Raw genomic sequence first — 23,649 nt, forward strand, 5'->3', positions numbered from 1 at the left:
TTATATATAACAATACATAATGTATATGTTATATGTTGCATATAATACGTAACAAATACAATGTATGCATTATATATAACAATTATGTATAATATAATTATATATAATATATCATATATAACATACATTATATGTAACATAATGTATATTAAACTGATTTATAAAATATTATGTATATGTTACATATGACAGTATAAGTTATAACATATAATATTGTTATATTATAACATATATTATGTTATAACATATAATATTGTTATATCATATGTTATATGTTAATGTCAGATATGTTATGTACATCACACATACACATATATGTTATATACATTATGTATAACATAAAAGTTATACATATGTTATATATGTATATATTATATTATATATAACAATATATAATGTATGTTATATGTTGTATATAATATATAACAATTATATAATTATATATAACAACTATATATTATATATAATTATATATAACAGTTTTATATAATATATAATTATATATAATATATCATATATAACATATACATTATATGTAACATAATGTATGTGTTATATATAACTTGTACTATATATGCTATAACATATATAACATGTATACAATATAACAATATGTATAATATATACATTATATATAACATATGTTATATACGTATATAACATATGCATATAAAAATGTGTCTATAAACATGTTTATAAAATATGCCTCAATATGTATATAAAATATGTCTATATATAATATATGTATTTTATATATATAATATGTCAGGAAATAGGGCACAGAAGGCTTCAGGCACTTGCTCAGAGTCACAGATAGTAAATGGCAGAGCTGGGTTGGTTCAGAACTGAGGTCTGCCTGAGTTCACCAATGCTCTTAGCCACTAGGGCCCCCCTGTCCCCTCTTCCCCCTGGGAAGGAAAGGAAGCTGGAGGTAGATGACTGACACTCTCTCTTGGGAGAGCCACACTTGGAGATTCTGTGAGAGAGGTGTGGAAGGTGAGAATGCCAGGCAGGAAATGATATCAACCGCTGTCTACCCTAAAAGACCTGCCCTTTCCAGCACTCAGGGACAGTGCCCTCGGTGCCTCTCAGTCACCCTCAGACCGGCCAGGCCCTCTGTGGCTGCATCTGAGCCACTCAGGAGCTGACCTCCTGCCTGTAAGGGCTGAACGCCTTCCTTTCCTCCCCTCTTAGATTCTCTGGGCAAGTTCCCTTAGAGGGAAGTCAGATTGGGGTTTTCCACATGCTGCAAGTTCATAATGGGGGCAGAGGAGGAAGTGCCACCTAAGGGATAGGAGTTTGGATATAGAACCTGAAGTGCTGCAGTTGCTTTGTGTGTCCTGGCACAAGCCACTTAATCTGGGCCTCAGTTTCCCCTTCTGCTCCTGCTTCATGAGGCTGTTGCAAGCACTGATGAGGCATTAAATATAAAGTACATAATGCAGTGCCTTGGGTCTTAGGAATAGTTATCTGCTGCTGCTGGTGGTGATGCTTAGTATCCATGGGCAATAGTTGTTCCAAGTATGAACAGAGTCAGGGAGCCCAGAGACTAGGGTCATATTCACCTGTTGGGCTGTGTTTTTCTTAAGGAGCGTCTCACCTGAGTGAGGCTAGTCTGCAGCCTGAATAGAGGTATTCCAGACTGCTATTCCTGAACAAGGGTTTGAGCTGCAAGGAAGGAGAGGGGAGGTGAGAAACAACAGCTGCGGGAAGCCAGGAAGAGTGGGGCATTGGAGGGGTGGACCAGGGTGAGGTGGGCGTGGCTGAAATCAGTGGGCGGGGCAGGGAAAGGTGGGCGTGGCTGGCATCAGTAGGCTGGGTGGGGTGAGGTGGGCTTGGCTAAAATCAGTGGGTGGGGCAGGGAAAGGTGTCTGGGGTTGGATGAGGTGGGCGTGGCTGGCATCAGTGGGCGAGGCAGTGTGAGGTGGGCTGGTTTGTCTAAGTGGGCGAGGGAGGAGTACGGTGGGCGGGGCTCTCACCAGACCCTGCAGTTCTCTCTCTGTGGCGTTGAACTTCCTGGAACCAGGGTGCCGCATGTCCTCCTCGTACTGCAGGTTGGTGATGGTGAAGTTGAGGGTGAATGGCACCATGAATGGGACTGTGGCTGCTGCAAGGAAGGAGAAAAGAAGGCCACGCCTGAGTCAGATCTGAACTGACTGTAAGTCAATTTCTGAGGACCCAGACGGAGTGCTTGAAGCAAGAGTCTGAAGCAGACAGGTGGGTGCTTTAGTTTGGACGGATAATGGAAAGCCAGGTAAGGAGAAAAGTGGGATGTTCCTAAAATGCATTACCTGGGCCCAGAAGCAGGTTAGGGGACCAGAAGCAGGTTAGGGGACCAGGGTAGGTGTATTGGGTCAGAACGTGTGCCTACTGGAAGCTGAGGTCTCAGACTCTGCCAGGTGCCCATACCCGCCCTAACAAACTCTAGCTGAGAAGTTAAAAGGGAAAAGGACCGGAACAGTCTCATGCTTTGGGGAACAAGAAGGGAAAAAAGAGTCAACTCAATCCCATTGAACACTGAACAACAACAATAAAAATCAAACAGCAGTCCTTAAAGCAGACCTTCTCTCACCTGCTTTACTTGGCTACCCTTCCCCACTCAAGCCCAAAACTCCCAAAACTCCCAGAACTTGCCCTTCCTTTAATAAAGAGGAGACCACATGGTAGAGAGACATAGTTACCATGGTTACGGCCACACTAGTGAGTCAGATTTGGTTTCAAATCTCCTCTCTGCCCCTCACCAGCCAAGTGACCATGGACATGTTACCTGTCCATACCTCAGTTTCTTCCGCTGTAATACAATGGGCAATATGGGTCGGGCGCGGTGGCTCACACCTGTAATCCCAGCACTTTGGGAGGCCAAGGCGGGCAGATCACTTGAGGTCAGGAATTCGAGACCAGCCTGGCCAACACAATGAAACCCCGTCTCGACTAAAAATACAAAAATTAGCCAGGCGTGGTGGCATGCACTTGTAATCCTGGCTACTTGGGAGGCTGAGGCAGGGGAATCCCTTGAACCCGGGAGACGGAGGCTGCAGTGAGCTGAGATTATACCACTGCACTCCAGCCTGGGCAACAGAGCGAGACTCTGTCTCAAAAAAAAAAAAAAAAAAAAAAGGCGGCGAGGGGCATAATGATATTTTGGAGGGAAATTAGGAAGGTTACATGACTGTTAAAAAGAGCACATCTCCAGGGCATTACACTGAGTGGAAAAGAAGCCAATTTCAAAGGTGACATGTTGTACATTTCCATTTATATAACATCTTCAAAAGAAAATTGTAGAGACAGAGATGGAGATGGAGAGTAGAATAGCTATTCTATGCAATAGTGTTGGGCTCAGTGGGCATGATTACGAAGGCTAGCATGAGGGGAATCTTTGGGGGAATGGAACAGTTCTGAATCTTGATGGTGGTGGTGATTATAGGGCTATGCCCATGTGATAAAAATTGCATAGGGCTACCAACACACACGCACACACACATGCATGCACACACGTGCACAGACACACACACATGTGCATACATGCACACAGATGCACGCACGCACGCACGCATGCACACACACATGCACACATGCACACACGCATGCACACATGCACATATGCACACACAGGCGTGCATGCACACACATGCCTGCACACACACGCACATACACAAGCTCACATATGCACACACGCGTGTAAAACCAGTAAAATGGATTTTAACAATGTCAGTTTCCTGCTTTTGATATTGTATTAGAGTTATGTAAGATGTAGCCATTGGGGAGAAACTGGGTGAAGGATACAGGGGAATGCTACACTATTTTCGCAACATCTCCTGAATTTATTTATTATTTATTTCAAAATGAAAAGTTATTTATTATTTATTTATATTATTATTTACTTTATATTTATTATTTATTTCAAAATGAAAAGTTAAAAATAAAAAAAATACATAGCATATGGCATGCCATATAGTAAGTGCTCAATAACTTGGTTGTCTTTTATTGTCAATTGTAATTGCTTGTTCCATTTCAGTCTTGCCCAATACACTGTAAACTTGGTGAGGGGAGGGACTGCATTTGACTTAGTCAACATCTTATCCCCCCTGCCCAGCCCAGAATAGGTGCCTGATAAATATTTGTTAAACCAAATTCCCTGGTAGCCCCTGTGCTAGGTGTTCTTACGTAGAGTTGCATATAACATTTGCAAACAATTTATGAAATATTATTATCCTCAATTGGCAGGTGAGGAAACTGAGGTACTGAGAGGATGAGTAAATTGCTCAAAGTCAACATGGCTGGAGAATGAGGAGGACCCTTCTCCTGCTCTTGAGGAGTTCGGAGCAGAGCGAGGATTACCATGACTGCTCCAGGTTTCCTCACGCCATCCTTTACCAACATCTCCCAGTTATATATATAATGTGTATAACTATATATATAGAAATATATATATTTATATACAGAGAAACATACATATATAACTATATATAGTTACAGATATAGAAACTATATATATAACTATATATAGAGAGACACTATATATATATGTTTTATATATGTGGTTACTATATGGTAACTATATATATGGTTATATATAACTATATATATGGCTATATATAGTTATGGCTATATAAATAACTATATATAACATATATGTTATATGTATAACCATAAATATATTTTTATATAACATATAATATATGATATAACATCTATCTATCTAACCAAGTAGAAACTTTCGAACTGAAACATAAAGTAACTGAGATAAAAAGAATTCAATGGATGGGCAGAATGGAGCTGGTAGAGAAAAGGCTTGGTGATTGTGAAAATATTCTATAAAAATTATTAAACCTGGGCCGGGCGCAGTGGCTCACGCCTGTAATCCCAGCTCTTTAGGAGGCTGAGGCGGGCGGATCACGAGGTCAGGAGATTGAGACCATCCTGGCTAATACGGTGAAACCCCGTCTCTACTAAAAAATACAAAAAATTAGCCGGGCATGGTGGCGGGTGCCTGTAATCCCAGCTACTCCGGAGGCTGAGGCAGGAGAATGGCGTGAACCCAGGGGGCGGAGCTTGCGGTGAGCCGAGATCGCGCCACTGCACTCCAGCCTGGGCGACAGAGCGAGACTCCGTCTCAAAAAAAAAAAAAAAATTATTAAACCTGAAATTCGGAGAGGAAAAAAGATTGATAAATAACAAAATGAACAGAACCTCAGGGTCTCTTCGGGCAACATCATTTCATTGGAGGTCCGAAGGGGAGAAAGAATCAGAGCAGAAAATAAACACTTTGAGACTCAAGAAGCTGAGAACACTTTAAGCAGGATAAACTCAAAGAAAACCATGCCCAGACACATCGTAATCAAACTACTGAAAATCAATGATGAAGAACAAATTTTGAAAGCACCTAGAAAAAGTGACAGCATTGATCATGGAATGACTTGCTTTGTAATACATGTTACATACGTACAAGCCCAGAGGGGTTAGGCATGTCACATAAATGGTTGAATTGATTAGAGCAGAGCAGTGAGGAAGTGGAGAGTGAACATCCTGTCTACAGCATGTAAAAAGTTTGCAGTGTTGTGACTCACAAAACATAAGGCCTGAAGGCGGAATTTTAATTACGGGACACCAGGTTCTATCTCATAACTCCAGAATCACAAGGCAGGGTTAAGGGTTAGGAATGCCCGACCTCCGTCTTTTTTTTTTTTTTTTTGAGATGGAGCCTAGCTCCATTGCCCAGGCTGGAGTGCAGTGGCACAATCTCGACCACTGAGAAAATTTCTGGCTGAGGCAGGAAAATTGCATGAACCCGGGAGGTAGAGGTTGCAATGAGCCGAGATGGTGCCACTGCACTCCAGCCTGGGTGACAGAGCGAGACTCCATTTAAAATAATAATAATAATAATAATAATTTTAAAAAAATTAGAAAGTTGAGAAGATACCAACCATAGCTGGTCCCCAGGAATCGCTAGTGCAAAGCTCTCGAGGTTAGACAGAGGTTAGGGTGCTAGAAGACCACTCAAGGCAGGGTGGTCAAAATTTAGAGAGTGGGCCTGGCGTGGTGGCTCATGCCTATAATCCCAGCACTTTGGGAGGCCAAGGTGGGTAGATCACTTGAGGTCAGGAGTTCAAGACCAGCCTGGCCAACATGGTGAAACCCCGTCTCTACTAAAAATACAAAAAATTAGCCAGGCATGGTGGTGTGCACCTGTAATCCCAGCTACTCCGGAGGCTGAGGCAGGAGAATCACGTGAACCTGGGAGGCGAAGGTTGCAGTGAGCCGAGATCACACCATTCCACTCCAGCCTGGGTGACAGAGCAAGACTCCGTAAAAAAAAAAAAAAAAAAAAAAAAAAAAGAGAGAGAGAGAGAGTGAGAGGGCGAGTGGAACAGGCTGAGTCTGGGTGGTCAGCAGGGAACAGACCATGCAGTGTTAAATTTCATAGATGCCAGAGAGGAGCTTCCTACCTGTGGAGCTGGGGATGGAGGATGTGGAAATCCCTGGGGAGAATGTAGAAGTCACTGGAGCTGAGAAAAAAAGAACATGGAGAAATGATTGGGTGTCTTCCTAAAGGAATATGGGACAGGAACTGCTCATTGGAATTTGGACTTCTATCTTGACTCACACCAAGACCTTGACGGGTTAGGGGCTGCTCTGAGGCTGTGGCTGGGCACGTAGGGAGGGAGAATGATCAGTTTCTCTTCTGAGGAATGCACCTTGGGGAGGAAGGGTCCCAAGGGCATTGGAATATCACAGGTTTGAATACTCACTGCTGGTGGCAGGGGTCCAGTACCGACGGTTATAACCTGCAGATAGGGAGGAAAGAGTAAAGAAGGACAATTATGATGGGTGAGAGGTAGGGGAGGGGAAGATGGTAGATCCAGAAATGGAAATAATGGGAAACTTTCATGATGAGCCCATCTGGGCTATCCCTCAGCCAGCCAGAGGGAGGGGAGGGGCTTCCACCTTCGATGTGTGACTTCAGCTCGCAAGGGAACCTCCATCTCTCAGCCCAGAGTGGCCAAAGTTGAACAAGTCATGGACATTTCATTGAGAAGAGGTGGGGCCAAGATCTTTTGTGAATAAAGGATAATGGCTATATTTTATTTGGTACATATTTTGTGCTTTGTCCTTTGACAATAATGGTGGAAATCATCACTATTATTATTCCTGAAATAAAAATACCATAATAGCTGTCCCTATTTATTGGGAATCTAGTATATACAAACAATAATAATAAATACATTACAAGGGTGGAAAGACACATGTATGGATGAGTGTGCTTTCTACCCATAAAGATAATTTAGTTTGATTCTTACTCTCTCAGCTTACCTCCTTTCACAAAATTTCATGATAGTATAATTTTTTTCCAACTTACTTTCTCTGTGTGTGTGTGTGTGTGTGTGTGTGTGTGTGTGATGTAGAATTGACAAAAATGTGATGGGTGAAGGGAGTGGTGTTTTTAGGTAAAAGTACAGAGAAATGAGGGATAGAAACGGTTCATATGGGGCCGGGCTTGGTGGCTCACGCCTGTAATCCTAGCACTTTGGGAGACCGAGATGGGCAAATCACTTGAGGTCAGGAGTTCAAGACCAGCCTGGCCAACATGGCGAAACCCCGTCTCCACTAAGAACACAAAAATTAGCGTGGCGTGGCGGTGGGCGCCTGTAATCCCAGCTACTCAGGAGGCTGAGGCAAGAGAATCTCTTGAACCTGGGAGGCGGAGGTTGCAGTGAGCAAAGATCGTGCCATTGCACTCCAGCCTGTGCAACAGAGTGAGACCATGTCTCAAAAAGAAAAGAAAAGAAGAGAAAAAAGAAAGAAAGAAGGAAAGGAAGGAAAGAAAAGAAAGAAAGAAAGGTTTCATATGGTTTGGAATATTGGAGAAAATTTGGCAAAATAGGTGTGGTGGTAAAAACAAGAGACTTCAGGATGAGAGGGGTGGTGTTGCCATTGGAGCAAGAAAGGAACTGGGGAAAAGAGAATTTGTCCTGAGTGTTTCTCTAGGTCATGGATTGCATCTCCTTTGAGGCTCTGTGAGAGATACAAGGAAAGACAGAACCCAGGGCAGCCCTGTTATTTATCTGGGTTGTTCCTGAATTATCTCATTTGATTATCAGAACAATCCCACGTAGTATTTTTATTCCATTCCACAGAGGGGACACTAAAGTCTGGGGAGGTTACATGGCTTGTCCTGCATCCAACAAAACAGACATCTGTCTGTCATTCAATAGTACCACACTGTTAAGCCATGCCCTAAATTAGTCATAATCCTATGGACACAGAACAGGATGTGTACTTGATACTACAATGAAATACTTTCTGTGTATTATCTCCTATGTCAAGGATAGAGGAGTATATATCCTCTATTTCAAGTCAGATATAAAGGAAATCTCCAAGTGGATTCAGAAGGGAAGTAACAAATTCAGCATTAGGTTAGATCATTAGCATAGAGGCCATTCATGCCTCATTCCTGTCCTGAGATTGGGGCTTGCTCTATTTGGACGATCCACAGTGATGTCTTGTAGTTAGGAGCCTGGAGTTTTCATGAGTCTCCAATCTTCGGTTGGAGTTTTCATACTGTCCTGTGTCATAACTGAGTAATTCTGGGCTAATTACTTCCTCCCTGGATGCATAAATGCTCTCTGTAGAAATGAGTATAGTAACTCACGGAGGTTTGGGTAATATTAATAGGAGATAATGCATATAAAGTTCTCATCACAATTCCTGGCACAATTCCTTTTTTTTTTTTTTTCAGACGGAGTCTTGCTCTGTCGCCCAGGCTGGAGTGCAGTGGCACAATCTCAGCTCACTGCAACCTCTGCCTCCCAGGTTCAAGCAATTCTCCTGCCTCAGCCTCCCGAGTAGCTAGGATTACAGGCACATGCCACCAAGCCTGGCTAGTTTTTGTATTTTTAGTAGAGATGGGGTTTCACCATGTTGGCTGGGCTGGTCTTGAACTCCTGACCTCAGGTGATCTGCCTGCCTCAGCCTCCCAAAATGCTGGGAATATAGGTGTGAGCCACTGTGCCTGGCCCTACAGTTTCCTTTTGATGAAAATGAGCTGCTGTTATGGTTGCTATTCTGGTGGTGGCATTGCTGCTTGGGTCATTGTTGCCACTGATGTTGTGTAAACAGTTATTATTTGAGGGGTATTTGCTCAGGGTGGGGTTATTTCATGAAGTCAGTGGATTCCACTGGCCCATGGAAACTGAGAATTTGCCTTGAGTTGTCATGATGGAGAAAATGAAGGGGAGGAGGGTGAACTGGGCACCCAGGGCCCACTGCGGAGACTCAACCATAGGACCCTCCCTCACCCATTTCTTTCCCCGTCGTCTGCAAACTCCAGCTGGGCTCTTACAGGATCAAGGTGGAGGAGGAAACATTTCATACCAGGAGGTGAAAGGGAAGAGGAAATTGGCCTCCTTTGATGTGCTAGGCATTGAAAGATGAGCCCTCAGAGAACTACGAGATTTGTACCAGAACTTGGAATCTGTGTACAGCAGATGCTCAACCTCAGCCCTATTGACATTTTGGTCTGGATAATGTGTTTTGATAGGAGGCTGCTTTGTGCATTGTTGGATGTTTTGCAACATCTCTGGCCTCTACTTACTAGATGCCATTAGCAAATGGCCGGGCATCATGGCTCATGCCTGTAATCCCAGCACTTTGGGAGGCCAAGGCAGGCGGATCACCTGAAGTCAGGAGTTCAAGAGCAGCCTGGCGAACATGGAGAAACCTCATCTCTACTAAAAATACAAAATTAGCTGGGCATGGTGGCACATGCCTGTAATCCCAGCTACTCAGGAGGCTGAGGCAGGAGAATCACTTGAACCCAGGAGGCAGAGTTTGCAGTGAGCCAAGATGGCGCCACTGCACTCCAGCCTGGGCAACAAGTGTGAAACTCCATCTCAAAAAAAAAAAAGTTATATGTGGATTTTTGAATGCATAGGGGTCAGCACCCTGAACCCTCATGCTGTTCAAGGGCCCAGCTGTAGTAATAATTGCCAGGAAGGAAGTGAGCATAGAGGTAGAATAGAGATTGGCTGTGTGCAAGATGCGTATACGGGGGAAATGCTACTTTATAAAGGGTGATCCAAGCTGAGATTTGAAGGACAAGAACACCAGGTGCAAAGACTCTGAGGGTGGAGGGATGTTTGGACCCTGGAGGAAAAAAAAAATGAAGCTGATATGGCCAGAGATGATTGGACACAGCTTATTCACTTACTCCGTTCTAAAAATGGACACTGAAGCCTGGAGAGGTTACATGGCTCTTCCGGGGCCACACAGTGAGCAAAAGAGAGGACCAGGACTTAAAGCAAGACCTGTAATTTACCAAAACCTACACCATTCATTACTGCTTTTAAGTCAGAGTCGGTCTCAATGAATATATATATATATATATATATATTTTTTTTTTTGAGACAGAGTCGCTCTCTGTTGCCCAGGCTGGAGTGCAGCGGTGCGATCTCCGCTCACTGCAAGCTCTGCCTCCCAGGTTCACGCCATTCTCCTGCCTCAGCCTCCTGAGTAGCTGGGACTACAGGCATCTGCCACCATGCCCGGCTAATTTTTTTGTGTATTTTTAGTAGAGATGGGGTTTCACTGTGTTAGCCAGGGTGGTCTTGATCTCCTGACCTCATGATCCACTGGCCTCAGCCTCCCAAAGTGCTGGGATTACAGGCGTGAGCCACTGCACCCAGCCTCAATGACTATTGAAATACAAGTTTTTGGCCTGGTGCAGTGGCTCACACTTGTAATCCCAGCACTTTGAGAGGCCGAGGCTGGAGGATCACTTGAGGTCAGGAGTTCGAGACAAGCCTGGCCCACATTGCAAAACCGTCGTCTCTACTAAAAACACAAAAAATTAGCCGGTGTGATGGTGCGTGCCTGTAGTTCCAGCTACTCAGGAGGCTGAGGCAGGAAAATCGCTTGAACCTGGGAGAAGGAGGTTGCAGTGACCCGAGATCATGCCACTGCACTCCAGCTTGGGCAACAGACTGAGACTCTGTCTCAAAAAACCCCCCAAAAAACAAAAAAACAAAAATTAGCCAGGCATAGTGGCATGTGGCATGAGAATCGCTTGAACCTGGGAGGCAGAGGTTGCAGTGAACCGAGATTGCACCATTGCACTCCAGCCTGGGCGACAGAGTGAGACTCTGCCAAAAGAAGGAAAGAAAGAAAAAGACAGGAAGAAAGGAAGAAAGGAAGGAAGGAAGGAGGAAGGAAGGAAGGAAGGAAGGAAGGAAGGAAGGAAGGAAGGAAGGAAGGAAGGAAGGAAGAAAAGAAGGAAGGAAGGAAAGAAATGGAAGCTTTAAATCCAGGCAAAAAGAAAGTGTCCAAGGTGGTATAGTGAGGACATCATTAAACAAGCATTAGCTTAAATTGTTGGATGAGATTGGACAGAGGGGAACACGCTGAGACTTGGTGGGCATCAGGACTCAGACCACACAGCAATTAATCAGCCACTGAATGGCAGCCGACGTTTCATGGGAGCTGGAAGCCAGATTCCTACCTGTAGCGCTGGGGGTGGGGCTCACAGATACGAGAGGCCTTGGAGAGAACATGGAGGTCATCGGAGCTGAAAGAAAACGCAGCGTGAATCGGGTTTGTTGGGTCCTATCATTTAGCGAGGGGAGAATAGGACTCTTGGTGAGCACTGGCATCTGTGCCTTGGCTCAGCCTGAGACTTTTGCTATTCTGGAGTTTCTGTGGGGATGAGAACCTAGGGAATGGGGGATACTTTCCTCCTGGAAGGCAGGCTTAGGGAGGAAGAATTCCCAGGGCATAGGGACTTCAGGGCCATGTTTACTCACTGCTGGTGGTGGAGATCCAGGACCGATGGTTATAACCTGCAGAGAGAGAGGGAGAGGAAGGAAGAACGAATCAGAGTGAGAAGACAGGAGGAAGTTAAGAGAGGAAGGAGGGGTAGAACTCAAAACACAGGTGCACCAACCCTCCTGTGTGCTTTCTCTGAGGTTCATTCATGAATAACAACAGCTGGGGAGGCTGAGGCGGGAGAATCACATGAACCTGGGAGGCAGAGGTTGCAGTGAGCCAAGATTGTGCCGCTGCACTCCAGCCTGGGTGACAGAGCGAGACTCCGTCTCTAAATAAATAAATAAATAAATGAATAACAGCTAGTCTTTTTTTGTTTGGTTTAGTTTTTGTTTGTTTGTTTTGTTTTTTGAGACAAGAGTCTCTCTCTGTTGCCCGGGCTGGAGTGCAGTGGTTCAAGCTCATCTCACTGCAGCCTCCGCCTCCCAGGTTCAAGTGATTCTCCTGCCTCAGCCTCCCAAGTAGTTGTCATTACAGGCACACGCCACCACACCTGACTAATTTTTGTATTTTTGGTAGAGACCAGGTTTCACCATGTTGGCCAGGCTAGTCTTGAACTCCTGACCTCAAGTGATCCACCCACTTTGGCCTCCCAAAGTGCTGGGACTGCAGGTGTGAACCAGCACGCCCAGCCAACAGCTTGGTCTTATTAGTTAACTGCCTCCTACACTGATGCTCATGATATCCTCACCCTCATTATCATTAACAACAATGACAATAATCAATCGCCAGAGGCCCCTTCTTATTGTGGGGGTTCACTATGTGGCTGGAATACTGCCACCTTCATTAAATAAATGATGGGGACAAAATTTTCTGTTTCCAGCCTTATTTGTGTTTCCTTCATCCATTACGTATAATTTTGTCATTGCTGTCTGAGTTTCTCCTCTTTCCCAACTTTTCAAAGACAGGAAAGACTTTTGGCAGTATAGTTTCTGGAATTCTTTCGTGTGAAATTGAGATAATAAGAGGGGAGGGAAAGAGAGAGAGAGAGACTGACTATGGGGAGGGGAGAGGCTAGGGGGTCCGCAGGAGATGATAAAGTTGCAGAATGAGAAGAAATGAGGAAAAGGGGATTTTAGTAAGTAGGGTATGTTCTGAAACATGAATTAGATCCTCTTTGGCACTCTGTGAATAGTGCAAAGAAAATTTAGACTTATTTTACATTTGATGGTCTGACTGATTTTCTTGAAACTTCTGAGACTGGTCCAAGTGGAGCCCTGTGGTTTACTTGGGTTATTAGGATTTTATCTTATTTGATCTTCACAATAATCTTAGGTGACATTTTAAACATTAAAAAAAAATCCATTCCGAAAATAGGGCCAGGTGAGGTGGCTCCTACCTGTAATCCCAGTACTTTGGGAGGCCCTTGGGCGGATCACTTGAGATCAGGAGTTTGAGACCAGCCTGGCCAACATAGTGAAATCCCATCTCTACTAAAAATGCAAAAATTAGCTGGGCGTGGTGGCACGCGCCTGTAGTCCCAGCTATTCGGGAGGCTGAGGCAGGAGAATCGCTTCAGTCTGGGAGGTGGAGGCTGCAGTGAGCCAAGACCGTACCACTGCACTCCAGCCTGGGTGCCAGAGGGAGACTCTATCAAAAAAAAGAAAGAAAAAAAAAAAAGGACACTGAATCCTCTTGACAGGATTAGTAAGATCTAACAGATATGGCCGGGCACAGTGTCTCACACTTGTAATCCCAGCACTTTGGGAGGCCAAGGCGTGTGGACCACCTGAGGTCAGGAGTTTGAGACCAGCCTGACCAACATGGTAAAACCCTGTCTGTACTAAAAATACAAAAATTAGCCAGGCACGGTGGCGTGCACCTGTAGTCCCAACTACTCAGGAGGCTGATGCAGGAGAATTGCTTGAACCCAGGAGACAGAGGTTCAGAGGTTGTGGTGAGCCGAGATTGCACCACTGCACTAGGGAGAATGGGGAATGGGAAATTATTCCTTCAGTCCTGTTTGGGGTGATAAAAAAAGTTTTGAAAACAGATAGTGGTGAGGGTTGCACAACAATGTGAATGTATTAGTACTGCTGAGTTGTACAATTAAAATGTTTAGAATGGCAATTTTTATAGTATTTATATTTTACCACAATAAAAAAGTTATTCTTACTTGTTCTTGAGGTCACACTCTCAGAGGCCAAGGTGGACATCCCAGGTGTGGTCAGAGGAGTAAAGAGGCTTCCAGCCAGTGTATTGAAGGTGGTTGTTGTCTTGGCCACAGTGGGACTGGAACCTGTGGTAGCTAAATTAGTGGCTTCAACCATTGTAGTTCTCAAGATAGTGGTTGGACTCACTCCTTCTCCATGACTGGTTTTAGGTGGTGTTGGCATCTCTGATGGTATCAAGGTCATAGTGGTGCCTGTGACAGTCCTGGAAAATTCTGGGGGTCCAACTGAAGTTACAGATGGTGAGGTTTCTGTGTTCCAGGAGGTCACAGTTTGGGGCTTATCAGTTGTTATAGAGGCACTGGAAAGCCCAGAGACAGCAGGGGAAACAGTCAGAGTTAGAGTACTCGTGCTGGTCTCTGCTGAAGAGCTGGTGGCCAGTAAGCCTGTAGTCTCTAGTAAACCAAGGGAAAGAGTTGAAGTTGGAATCATTGTGCTGGTTTCTGTCCCTGGATGGGTGGAAAGTGGGGCTGTTTTTGCAGAAACACCAGGTGAAGCAGTTGGACTTAGATCAACTCTGCTGGTTCCAGTTACAAGTAGGGTGAAGAGAGAGGATGTTGTCTGAGTTGGGAGAGCTGTGCTAGTCTCTGCACCAGGTCTAATGGTGAGTGAGGCTGTGGTCTCTGATACTTGAGGAAACACAGTTGAAGCAGGAAATGTTTTACTTGTCTCTGTTCTGGGATGGGTGCTCAATAAGGCTGTGGTCTCTGGCATACCAGGAGAATGAGTCAAAGTTGGAACAGTTGTACTGGTTGCTGCCCCAGAACTAGTGATCTGTGAAGTCACCATCTCTGGTGCACCAGGTGAGATTGTTGTCAGTACAGCTGAACTGGCTTCTGTCCTAGGACTGGTGGCCATTACAGGTGTGGCATCTGGACTACTATGGGAAAAACTGGAGGTTGTTCTGGAAACAGGTGTGCTGGTCTGTGGAGGATGAGTGACCCAGGAAGCCATTGTATCTGGCTCACTAGAGGGAACAGTCCGAATTGGAACAGTGAAGCCAGTCTGTGTCCCAGGATGGGTAGCTGATGAGGCTGTGGTCTCTGGTTCACCAGGAGAAGGAGTCAAAGTTGGAATAGCTGTACTAGTGTCTGTTGCAGAACTAGTGACCTGTGAGGTCACTACCCCTGGTATACTGGGTGGGATGGTTGTAGTTGGAACACCTGACCTCGTGTCTACTCCAGGACTGGTGACCATTGAGGGTGCAGTGTCTGATCCCCTATGGGAAAAGTTGGGAATTGTCCCAGAAACCGTTGTGCTGGTTTCTGCAGGATGAGTGAGCCACGTGGCTGTAGTCTCTGGTTCATATGGGGTCTCACTCAATGTTGGGAAGGTTGTACTGGTGTCTGTCCCAGAACTAGGGACCAGTGAGGTCACCAGATCTGACATATCAGGTGAGATAGTTGTCGTTGAAACAGCTGAACTGGCTTCTGGCCCAGGACTGGTGATGGCTACTGGGAGTGTGGTGTCTGACTTACTATGGGAAAACTTGGGAGTTGTCCTGGGAACCATTGTGTTGGTCTCTGCAGGATGAATGAGCTGTATGGCTGTTGTCTCTGGTTCATATGGGGTCTCCGTCAGTGTTGGGAAAGTTGTAGTGCTGTCTGTCCCAGAACTGATGACCAGTGAGGTCAGCATCTTTGATGCACCAGGGGAGACAGGGAGAGTTGGAATGGCTGAACTTGTGTGTGTCTCAGAATAGGTGATAAATGAGGTTGTGGTCTCTGGCTCACCAGAAGAAAGAGTCAGAGTTGGAATAGTTATACTGGTGTCTGTCCCAGAACTAGTGACCTGTGAGGTTACCATATCTGGTACATCAGGTGAGACAGTTATTGTTGGAAAATCTGAAGTGGCTTCTGCCCCAGGACTGGTGGCTATTGATGGTGTGGTGTCTGGTTCACTATGAGAATAATTAGGGGTTGTCCTGGGAACTGTTGTGCTGGTGACTGCAGGATGAGTAACCCATGAGGCTGTTGCCTCTGATTCATGTGGGGACTCAGGCACTGTTGGAAAAGTTGCACTGATGTCTCTCCCAGAGCTAGTGACCAGTGATGTCAGCACACCTGGTATACCAGGTGAAATAGTTGTTGAAATGGCTGAGCTGGATTCTGCCTCAGGACTGGTGACTGTAGAAGGCATAGTGTCTAATTCACTGTGGGAAAACCTTGAGGTTGTCCTGGGAAGAGTTGAGCTACTCTCTGCAGGATGGGTGACCAATGAGATATTTGTAAACGGCTCACCAGTGGAGACAGTCAAAGTTGGAACAACAGAACTTGCTTCTGTCCCAGGATGAGCGACCCATGAGTCTATGGTCTCTGGTTGACTTGAGGCAACAGTTAGATTTGAAAACGCACTGGTCTCTGACCCAGAACTAGTGACCAGTGAAGTCACCAGCCCTTGTACAGTAGGGGAGACAGCTAAAGTTGGAATGGCTGAAATCATCTTTGCCTCAGAATGGGTGACCAATGAAGTTGTGGTCTCTGGTTCATCAGAAGAAATAGTCAGAGTTGGAATAGTTGTACTGGTTACTGCTCTAGAACTAGTGACCAGAGAGGTCACCATTCCTGGTACCTCAGGTGAAACAGTTAGAACAGCTGAGCTGGCTTCTACCCCATGACTGGTGGCCATTGAAGGTGTGGTCTCTGGCTCACTAGAAGAAAGAGTTAGAATTGGAATAGTTGTACTGGTCACTGCCCTGGAACTAGTGACCAGAGGGGTCACCACTCCTGATACCCCAGGTGAAACAGTTGGAGTTGGAACAGCTGAGCTGGCTTCTGCCCCATGACTGGTGGCCATTGAAGGTGTGGTTTCTAGTTCACCAGGAGAAAGAATCAGAGTTGGAATACTTGTACTGTTTACTCCACTAGAACTAGTGACCAGAGAGGTCACCACTCCTGGTACCTCAGGTGAAACAGTTGGAACAGTTGAGCTGGCTTCTGCCCCATGACTGGTGGCCATTGAAGGTGTGGTCTCTGGTTCACCAGGAGAAAGAGTCAGAGTTGGAAGAGTTGTACTGGTTACTGCCCTAGAACTAGCAACCAGAGAGGTCACCATTCCTGGTACCTCAGGTAAAACAGTTGGAACAGCTGAGCCAGCTTCTGTCCCATGACTGGTGGCCATTGAAGGTGTGGTCTCTGGTTCACCAAGAGAAAAAGTCAGAATTGGAATAGTTGTACTAGTCACTGCCCTAGAACTAGTGACCAGAGAGGTCACCACTCCTGGTACCCCAGGTGAAACAGTTGGAGTTGGAATAGCAGAACTGGCTTCTTCCCCATGACTGGTGGCCATTGAAGGTGTGGTCTCTGGTTCACCAGGAGAAAGAGTCAGAATTGGAATAGTTGTACTGATCACTGCCCTAGAACTGGTGACCAAAGGGGTCACTACTCCTGGTACCTCAGTTGAAACAGTTGGAGTTGGAACAGCTGAACTGGATTCTGCCCCATGACTGGTGGTCATTGAAGGTGTGGTGTCTGATTTACTATGGAAAAAAATGGAAGTTGTCCAGGGAACTGTTGGGCTGGTCTGTGCAGGATGCGTGACCAATGAAACTGTTGTAGCTGGTTCACCAGGGGAGTTTGTCAGAGCTCGATTAGTTGTACTTGTCTTTGCCGCCAAACTGGTGACCATTGAGGTCACCAACCGTGATACAGCAGGCGAGATAGTTGAAGTTGGAATGGCCGAACTTGTCTGTGCTTCAGGATGGGTGACTAATGAGGCTATCGTCTTTGGTTCACCAGGAGAAAGAGTCAAAGTTGGAATAGTCATATTTCTGTCTGTCCCAGAACTAGTGACCTGTGAGGTCACCAGATCTTCTGCACCAGGTGAGACAGTCATAATTGGAATAGCTGAACTGGTTTCTGCCCCAGGACTGGTGGCTATTGAAGGTGTGGCATCTGATTCATGATGAGAAAAATTGGGGATTGTTCTGGGAATAGTTGAGCTGGTCTCTGCAGGATGAGTGAGCCATGTGGTTCTTGTCTCTGTTTCATGTGGGGACTTAGTCAGTGTTGGGAATGTTGTACTAGTATCTGTCCCCGAAATAGTGACCAGTGGGGTCAGTGCATCTAGTTCACTAGGTGAGATATTTGTTGGAATGGCTGAGCTGACGTCTGCCCCATGACTGGTGGCTGTGGAAGATACAGTGTCTAATTCACTGTGGAAAAAATTGGGGGTTGTCTTGGAAACAGTTGGGATGGTCTCTGCAGGATGGATAACCCATGAAGCTGTTGTATCTGGCTCACTAGAAGAAACATCTAGAGTTTGAATAACCGGACTTCTCTCTGCCCCAGAACGAGAGACCAGTGAGGCTGTGGTCTCTGATTCTCTATTGAAAACAGATGGGGTTGTCCTGGGAAGAGCTGTGCTGGTTTCTGCTCCCAGGCTGGTAGCCAATGAGGATGTCGTTTCTGGAACATCAGGGAAAACATATGGGGTTGTGATCATCATTTCTGTGGGGATTGTGCTGGCCATTTGCATTGATGCATTGAGGGGAGTCAGTGTTCCCAAAGTGGGAGTATAGACACTGGTGGTCAAGGTGGCTCTGGAAGTGGTCTTCAGAGCTGTGGTGGTGGTCTTCAGAGCTGTGGTGGTGGTCTCCATTCTTTTTGTCCCTCCTGTGTGTAGTCCTGTAAATTGGGGAATGGGCACACAATTTGAACAAAATGATTACACTTACTGGACTTGCAATAGCTTATTTATTCTCCACAGGAGGAAAGGGAGAGAAATGTCTCTCGGTTACTAGGATGTGTCTGGGATGCTTCTGGAATGGGAAAAGAGATTGTGATTGGTATTCCCCTATCTTACCTTGGTCTGTAACTTGGTTGCATCTTCACCTATAACTCCTCTGTGAATTCTTGACCGCTACTCTATTCCCTCTTCCCATGTGTTTCCTGCACTGTCAGCCTCTGAGCCTTGTTCAAGCTCTTCTCTCTGCCTGAAGTGCCCACTTCTCATCAGATTCCTTAAGTTCTGCCATTATTGAAATCCAAGCCCACATCCACCTTTACAAATTCACTCCAGAACTCATCTTTGCTTCTCAATATTTCCTTATCACACTGTCTGAATCTGCGTTGTACCATCCTTCACAGTCTCATTTGTAACAGCTATTCACGTTTGACTGTTTGGCATACGGTAAGTGCTCAACTAATATTTGTTGAATGATTGAATGAATGAATATGTGGATGGATGTATACTTAAGTGGATCTCCTCTGACTTGAGAGAGATTAAGTATTGTGTATCATGTGTTTGAGAGCTTGGGCTCTGGAATAAGATAGCCCTGCCTGGGATTCTGGCTCTTTCTCTAAAGAGATGGGTGGCTCTTTAAGTTAAAAAATATTGCTGGACCTCCATTTTCCCGTCTATAAAGTGGGGATAAGTACAATGGCCATCTCAAAGTGTTGGTAAAAAGGCGCCAAGCACAGTGCCTCCTGGGTCACGATAAGACATTACTACTATTACCACGACTATGACCTGCTATTGCTACTGTTATTACTATCACTTCTCCACCTACCATTACTGCTGTTATTGCTACTGTTACTACTACCTATTGCAATGGTTATTACTATGATTACTACTACTAGTACTGCTACTACTGTTACTACCACTATTACTATTGCTACTGTTACTGCTACCACTGCTACTACTACTGTTACTACTACCACCACTCTACCTACCATTACTGCAGTTATTACTACTGTTACCACAACTATTACTACCTATCACTATGGTTATTACTATGGTTACTGCTACTTACTATTACTACTGCTGTTGCTATTACTATTATTACTATCACTACCACTTAATATTACTACTCTACCTACAGTAGAGTAACAGCAGTAATGGTAGTGCTCTGTCATTACTGCTGTTATTACTACTGTTACTACTAATATTACTGCCTATTGCTATGGTTATTACTATGTTATTACTATGGTTACTACTATTAATACTATTGTTGCTAGCACTATTACTTATGATTTCTACTGTCACTACTACCACTGCTACTACCTACTGCTACTACTGTTACTACCAACACAACTCTACATACCATTACTGCCATTATCACTACTATTACTACTAGTATTACTGCTTATTGCTATGGTTATTGCTACAGTTACTACTACTTACTAGTGCTATTGCTGCTATTGTTACTACCACTACTACTTACCATTACTACTGTCACTACTAATAATTCTACTACAAAATAAACATTTGCTAAATAGAATTCTCCACCAACCACACTAGACACTACCAGAGCTGACCAAGGTGACTGGAATACCTTTGAACAAGATTCCAGTAGCATTGATGAGACAGCAGCTGCTGACCAGGCTTTAGAAAATGGTTCCTAGGGAAGAGGAAGAACTAACTGGAGGCTTCTCTATAAAGCCCACAAAGCCTACTGGAGCTTGGTAGAGAAAGGGGGTAAAATGAAAGGGATTTTGACTCTGATTATGGAGCAGTGTCCCTGTGTTGCTGGATATCCTCTAAAAACAATATGTCTGAGAATGCACTCTCAAGTGCTTCATGTGTATCTAACAATAATGGTGACCATGATGGTGATTATGTTGATGGGAAGGAGGAGGAGGAGCAATTGCAAAGCACTTGACATGCACTGTCTTTTTAAACCTCACAAGAACATTAAATGGCACATTCTGGCCAGGCGCGGTGGCTCATGCCTGTAATCCCAGCATTTTGGGAGGACGAGGTGGGCGGATCACCTGAGGTCAGGAGTTCTAGACCAGCCTGGTCAACATGGTCAAACCCCATCTCTACTAAAAATACAAAAATTAGCCAGGCTTAGTGGCGTGCATCTGTAATCCCAGCTACTCGGGAGGCTGAGGCAGGAGAATGACTCAAACTCAGGGGATGGAGGTTGCAGGGAGCCGAGATTGCACCTCTGCACTCCAGCTTGGGTGACAGAGCAAGACTCCACCTCAAATAAATAAATAAATAAAGTGAGATAAAATAAAATAAAATGCACATTGTATAATTCTTGTCATTTTACAGGAGAGAAAGAGAAATCCAGAGACCACAATTTACCAAGGTCACACACAGCTATTGACAGGGCAAAAACTTGAACATCATCGTATCTAAATCCTAAACCCATATTATTAACCATTGCATTATATTAATTCACTAAAGGAACTTCTGGATCTTGTGGGGACCAGAATGGAAAGAGAATGAAGTGAGGTGAAAACGCCCATCTAGTAAGATGGATCTTAGGATGCATTCTCCAGTTCAGTGGTTCTCAACCAGGGGCAGTTTTGCTTCCAGGGGACACTTAACAATGTCTGGAGATATTTTTGGTTGTCACAACTGTGTGTGGGCAGAAGGTATGGCATCTAGAACAGAGGCCAGAGAGGCTGGTAAACATCCTACAACGCACAGCACAGCCCCCATCGCAGAGAAGTATCTGCCCCAAATGACAATAGTGTCAAAGTTGAGAAACCCAGATTTTTATTTATTTATGTATTTCATATTACTGCCTTTTAAAGTGAAAATTTTGTTTCAGACTTTATTCAAAACAGAAGGAGGAATTACTAAATATTGTGACAAAGAAAACATATAACAGTGATGTCATAAACCATCTTACATTTATATCGTGTTTTTATTCCCCCCATTGTACTTACATATTGTGATTTAGCTCTCCAGTGATGACAAACAAAAATAACCCAGGAGCTCACCCATCTTCTTTATTTAAGTGACAGTTAAAAAAAATGTACAGTTCCAAATTTTTCATCATGGGAGATATAATCCTAGATATTTTTGTGAAGTTTCTCTTACAAGAGAGTTATGTCTGTTTTTCAACCAGGGCATACATAAAGGCTGTTAATTTATACTTCCTTTTCCTACATTTGCTAGAACTATTGGGATGCATTTTCAGACATACTCTGTCTCTCTCTCTCTCTCTCTCTCTCTCTCTCTCTATATATATATATATATATATATATATATATATACATACATATATATATATACATACATATATATATACATATATATATAGTATATTTTATTTAAATAAAATATATATATATATATATAATTTATTTATTTATTTTTGAGCTGGAGTCTTGCTCTGCCACCCAGGCTGGAGTGCATTGGCACAATCTCAGCTCACTGCAGCCTCTACCTCCTGGGTTCAAGTGACTCTCTTGCCTCAGCCTCCTGAGTAGCTGTGATTACAGGTGTGTGCCACCATGCCCGGCTAATTTTTATATTTTCAGTAGAGATGGAGTTTCACCATTTTGGTCAGACTGGTCTCGAATTTTTGACCTCAGGTGATCCACCCACCTCAGCCTCCCAAAGTATTGGGATTACAGGCATGAGCCACTGCGCCCAGCTCATAGTAAGTTTTTAATGAGCATTTTTAAAATTTGGTTAATATGGACAAATTTGTGAATATTTGATGTTGGACAAAACTCACTCAGCATGCCATGAGGAGAAAGAGAAGTGGTAACATCTGCCTGGTAACCATTAGATAAAGACTCAGTTCAGACAGGGAAACCTATGACAACCACACACAATTCTCTCTCTAAAGAATACAAACATTTTGTCTCTCTGGAGGAGGAAATATGGTCACGAGTGGCATTACTGGGAGGTAAGCAAAGTTAAACCTACCTTTAGGACTGGCAGGCGAAGTGGATGTCTGAGGGCCTTTGACTGGTCTTATGGTACCTCTGTGTGCTGCTTCATTGGGTATTTTTGTGATGTGTTCCATAATGCCATCAGTTCCTGAAGATGAAGGTGGGGAGAAAAACTGGGGTAACTCATCTCATTCAGAAGAAGAGCACTGTCTAAATGGATCCACTTCATTGGCCACAAACACTCCTCAAGTCCATCAGTATGAACTGGAGCTGGGACTATGTGCCATAAGTGGCCACACCTGTCCATAGATCCATCCACCTACCTATAGATTTGTCCATCCTTCCTTTCATTCATCCCTAGATCTGATCATCTATTCTTCCATTTTTTCTTCCTTTTATTCTTTCCTTCTATCACCCATTCTTCCTTTTGTCTTTCCTCCCTTCTTTCCTTTCTCTTGCTTTTTAAAATTTTAATTTAAAAGTTTGTATTTCAATAGCTTTGAGGGTACAAGTGGTTTTTTCTTATATGGATGAATCATATGTGGTGAAGTGTGAGATTTTTTGTGCACCCTCCTTTCTTCTTTCCATCCATCTTTTCTTCAATCTTTACTTCATTTCATCCTTCTACCTTTCTTTCCTTCAATCTATATCCCCTTCAATCCTGTCTTCCATCATCTTTCTTTCTTTTCATCCTTCCTTCTGTGCATCTATCCTTCCTCCGCTTCATCTTTGCTTCCTTCCATTCACTCTTCTCTCCATTCTTCCTTTTATCCATCCAACTACACTTCTCCCTTCTCGCCATGCCATTCATCACTTGCTTACTGAACACCCGTGACTCAACTACTGAGTCACATAGTAACATATGGGTCAATAGCCACCAATGTGTCTAAATTTAGTGTGAATTACAAAATAATGTGAAGAAGGAGAGGGAGCAAATCATTCTCCTGGAGATATTGTCCAGTGAGGCAGAAACTCGAGTCGTTGGAGGGCCTCTTTGGATTTGTGTCCAGAACAAAAGTTGGTGCCAAGCTCAACCCTTTCAGAGGAATGGAATCCCCAAGAAGTTCCTTCCTTTATCT

The 23,649-nt window shown here is 44.2% G+C and overlaps 1 protein-coding gene across 4 annotated transcripts in view; it reads right to left on the bottom strand.

Annotated features, from left to right (window-relative positions):
- The window catches only part of MUC16 (mucin 16, cell surface associated), a gene marked incomplete in the record, with an annotated part of 216,908 nt that overhangs the window by 72,111 nt on the left and 121,148 nt on the right, over nucleotides 1–23,649 (bottom strand). For 3 of the 4 annotated variants that reach the window (NM_001414686.1, NM_001401501.2, NM_001414687.1), the window contains 8 exon segments: nucleotides 1,601–1,668; nucleotides 1,980–2,107; nucleotides 6,447–6,506; nucleotides 6,750–6,785; nucleotides 11,495–11,560; nucleotides 11,796–11,831; nucleotides 13,934–18,613; nucleotides 22,605–22,718. In NM_001414686.1, the coding sequence (NP_001401615.1) occupies nucleotides 1,601–1,668; nucleotides 1,980–2,107; nucleotides 6,447–6,506; nucleotides 6,750–6,785; nucleotides 11,495–11,560; nucleotides 11,796–11,831; nucleotides 13,934–18,613; nucleotides 22,605–22,718 (5,188 nt within the window). 4 annotated transcript variants of the gene reach the window in all.

This window comes from Homo sapiens, chromosome 19, assembly GCF_000001405.40.
Source record: "Homo sapiens chromosome 19, GRCh38.p14 Primary Assembly".
In the NCBI taxonomy this organism is placed as follows: Eukaryota; Metazoa; Chordata; class Mammalia; order Primates; family Hominidae; genus Homo; species Homo sapiens.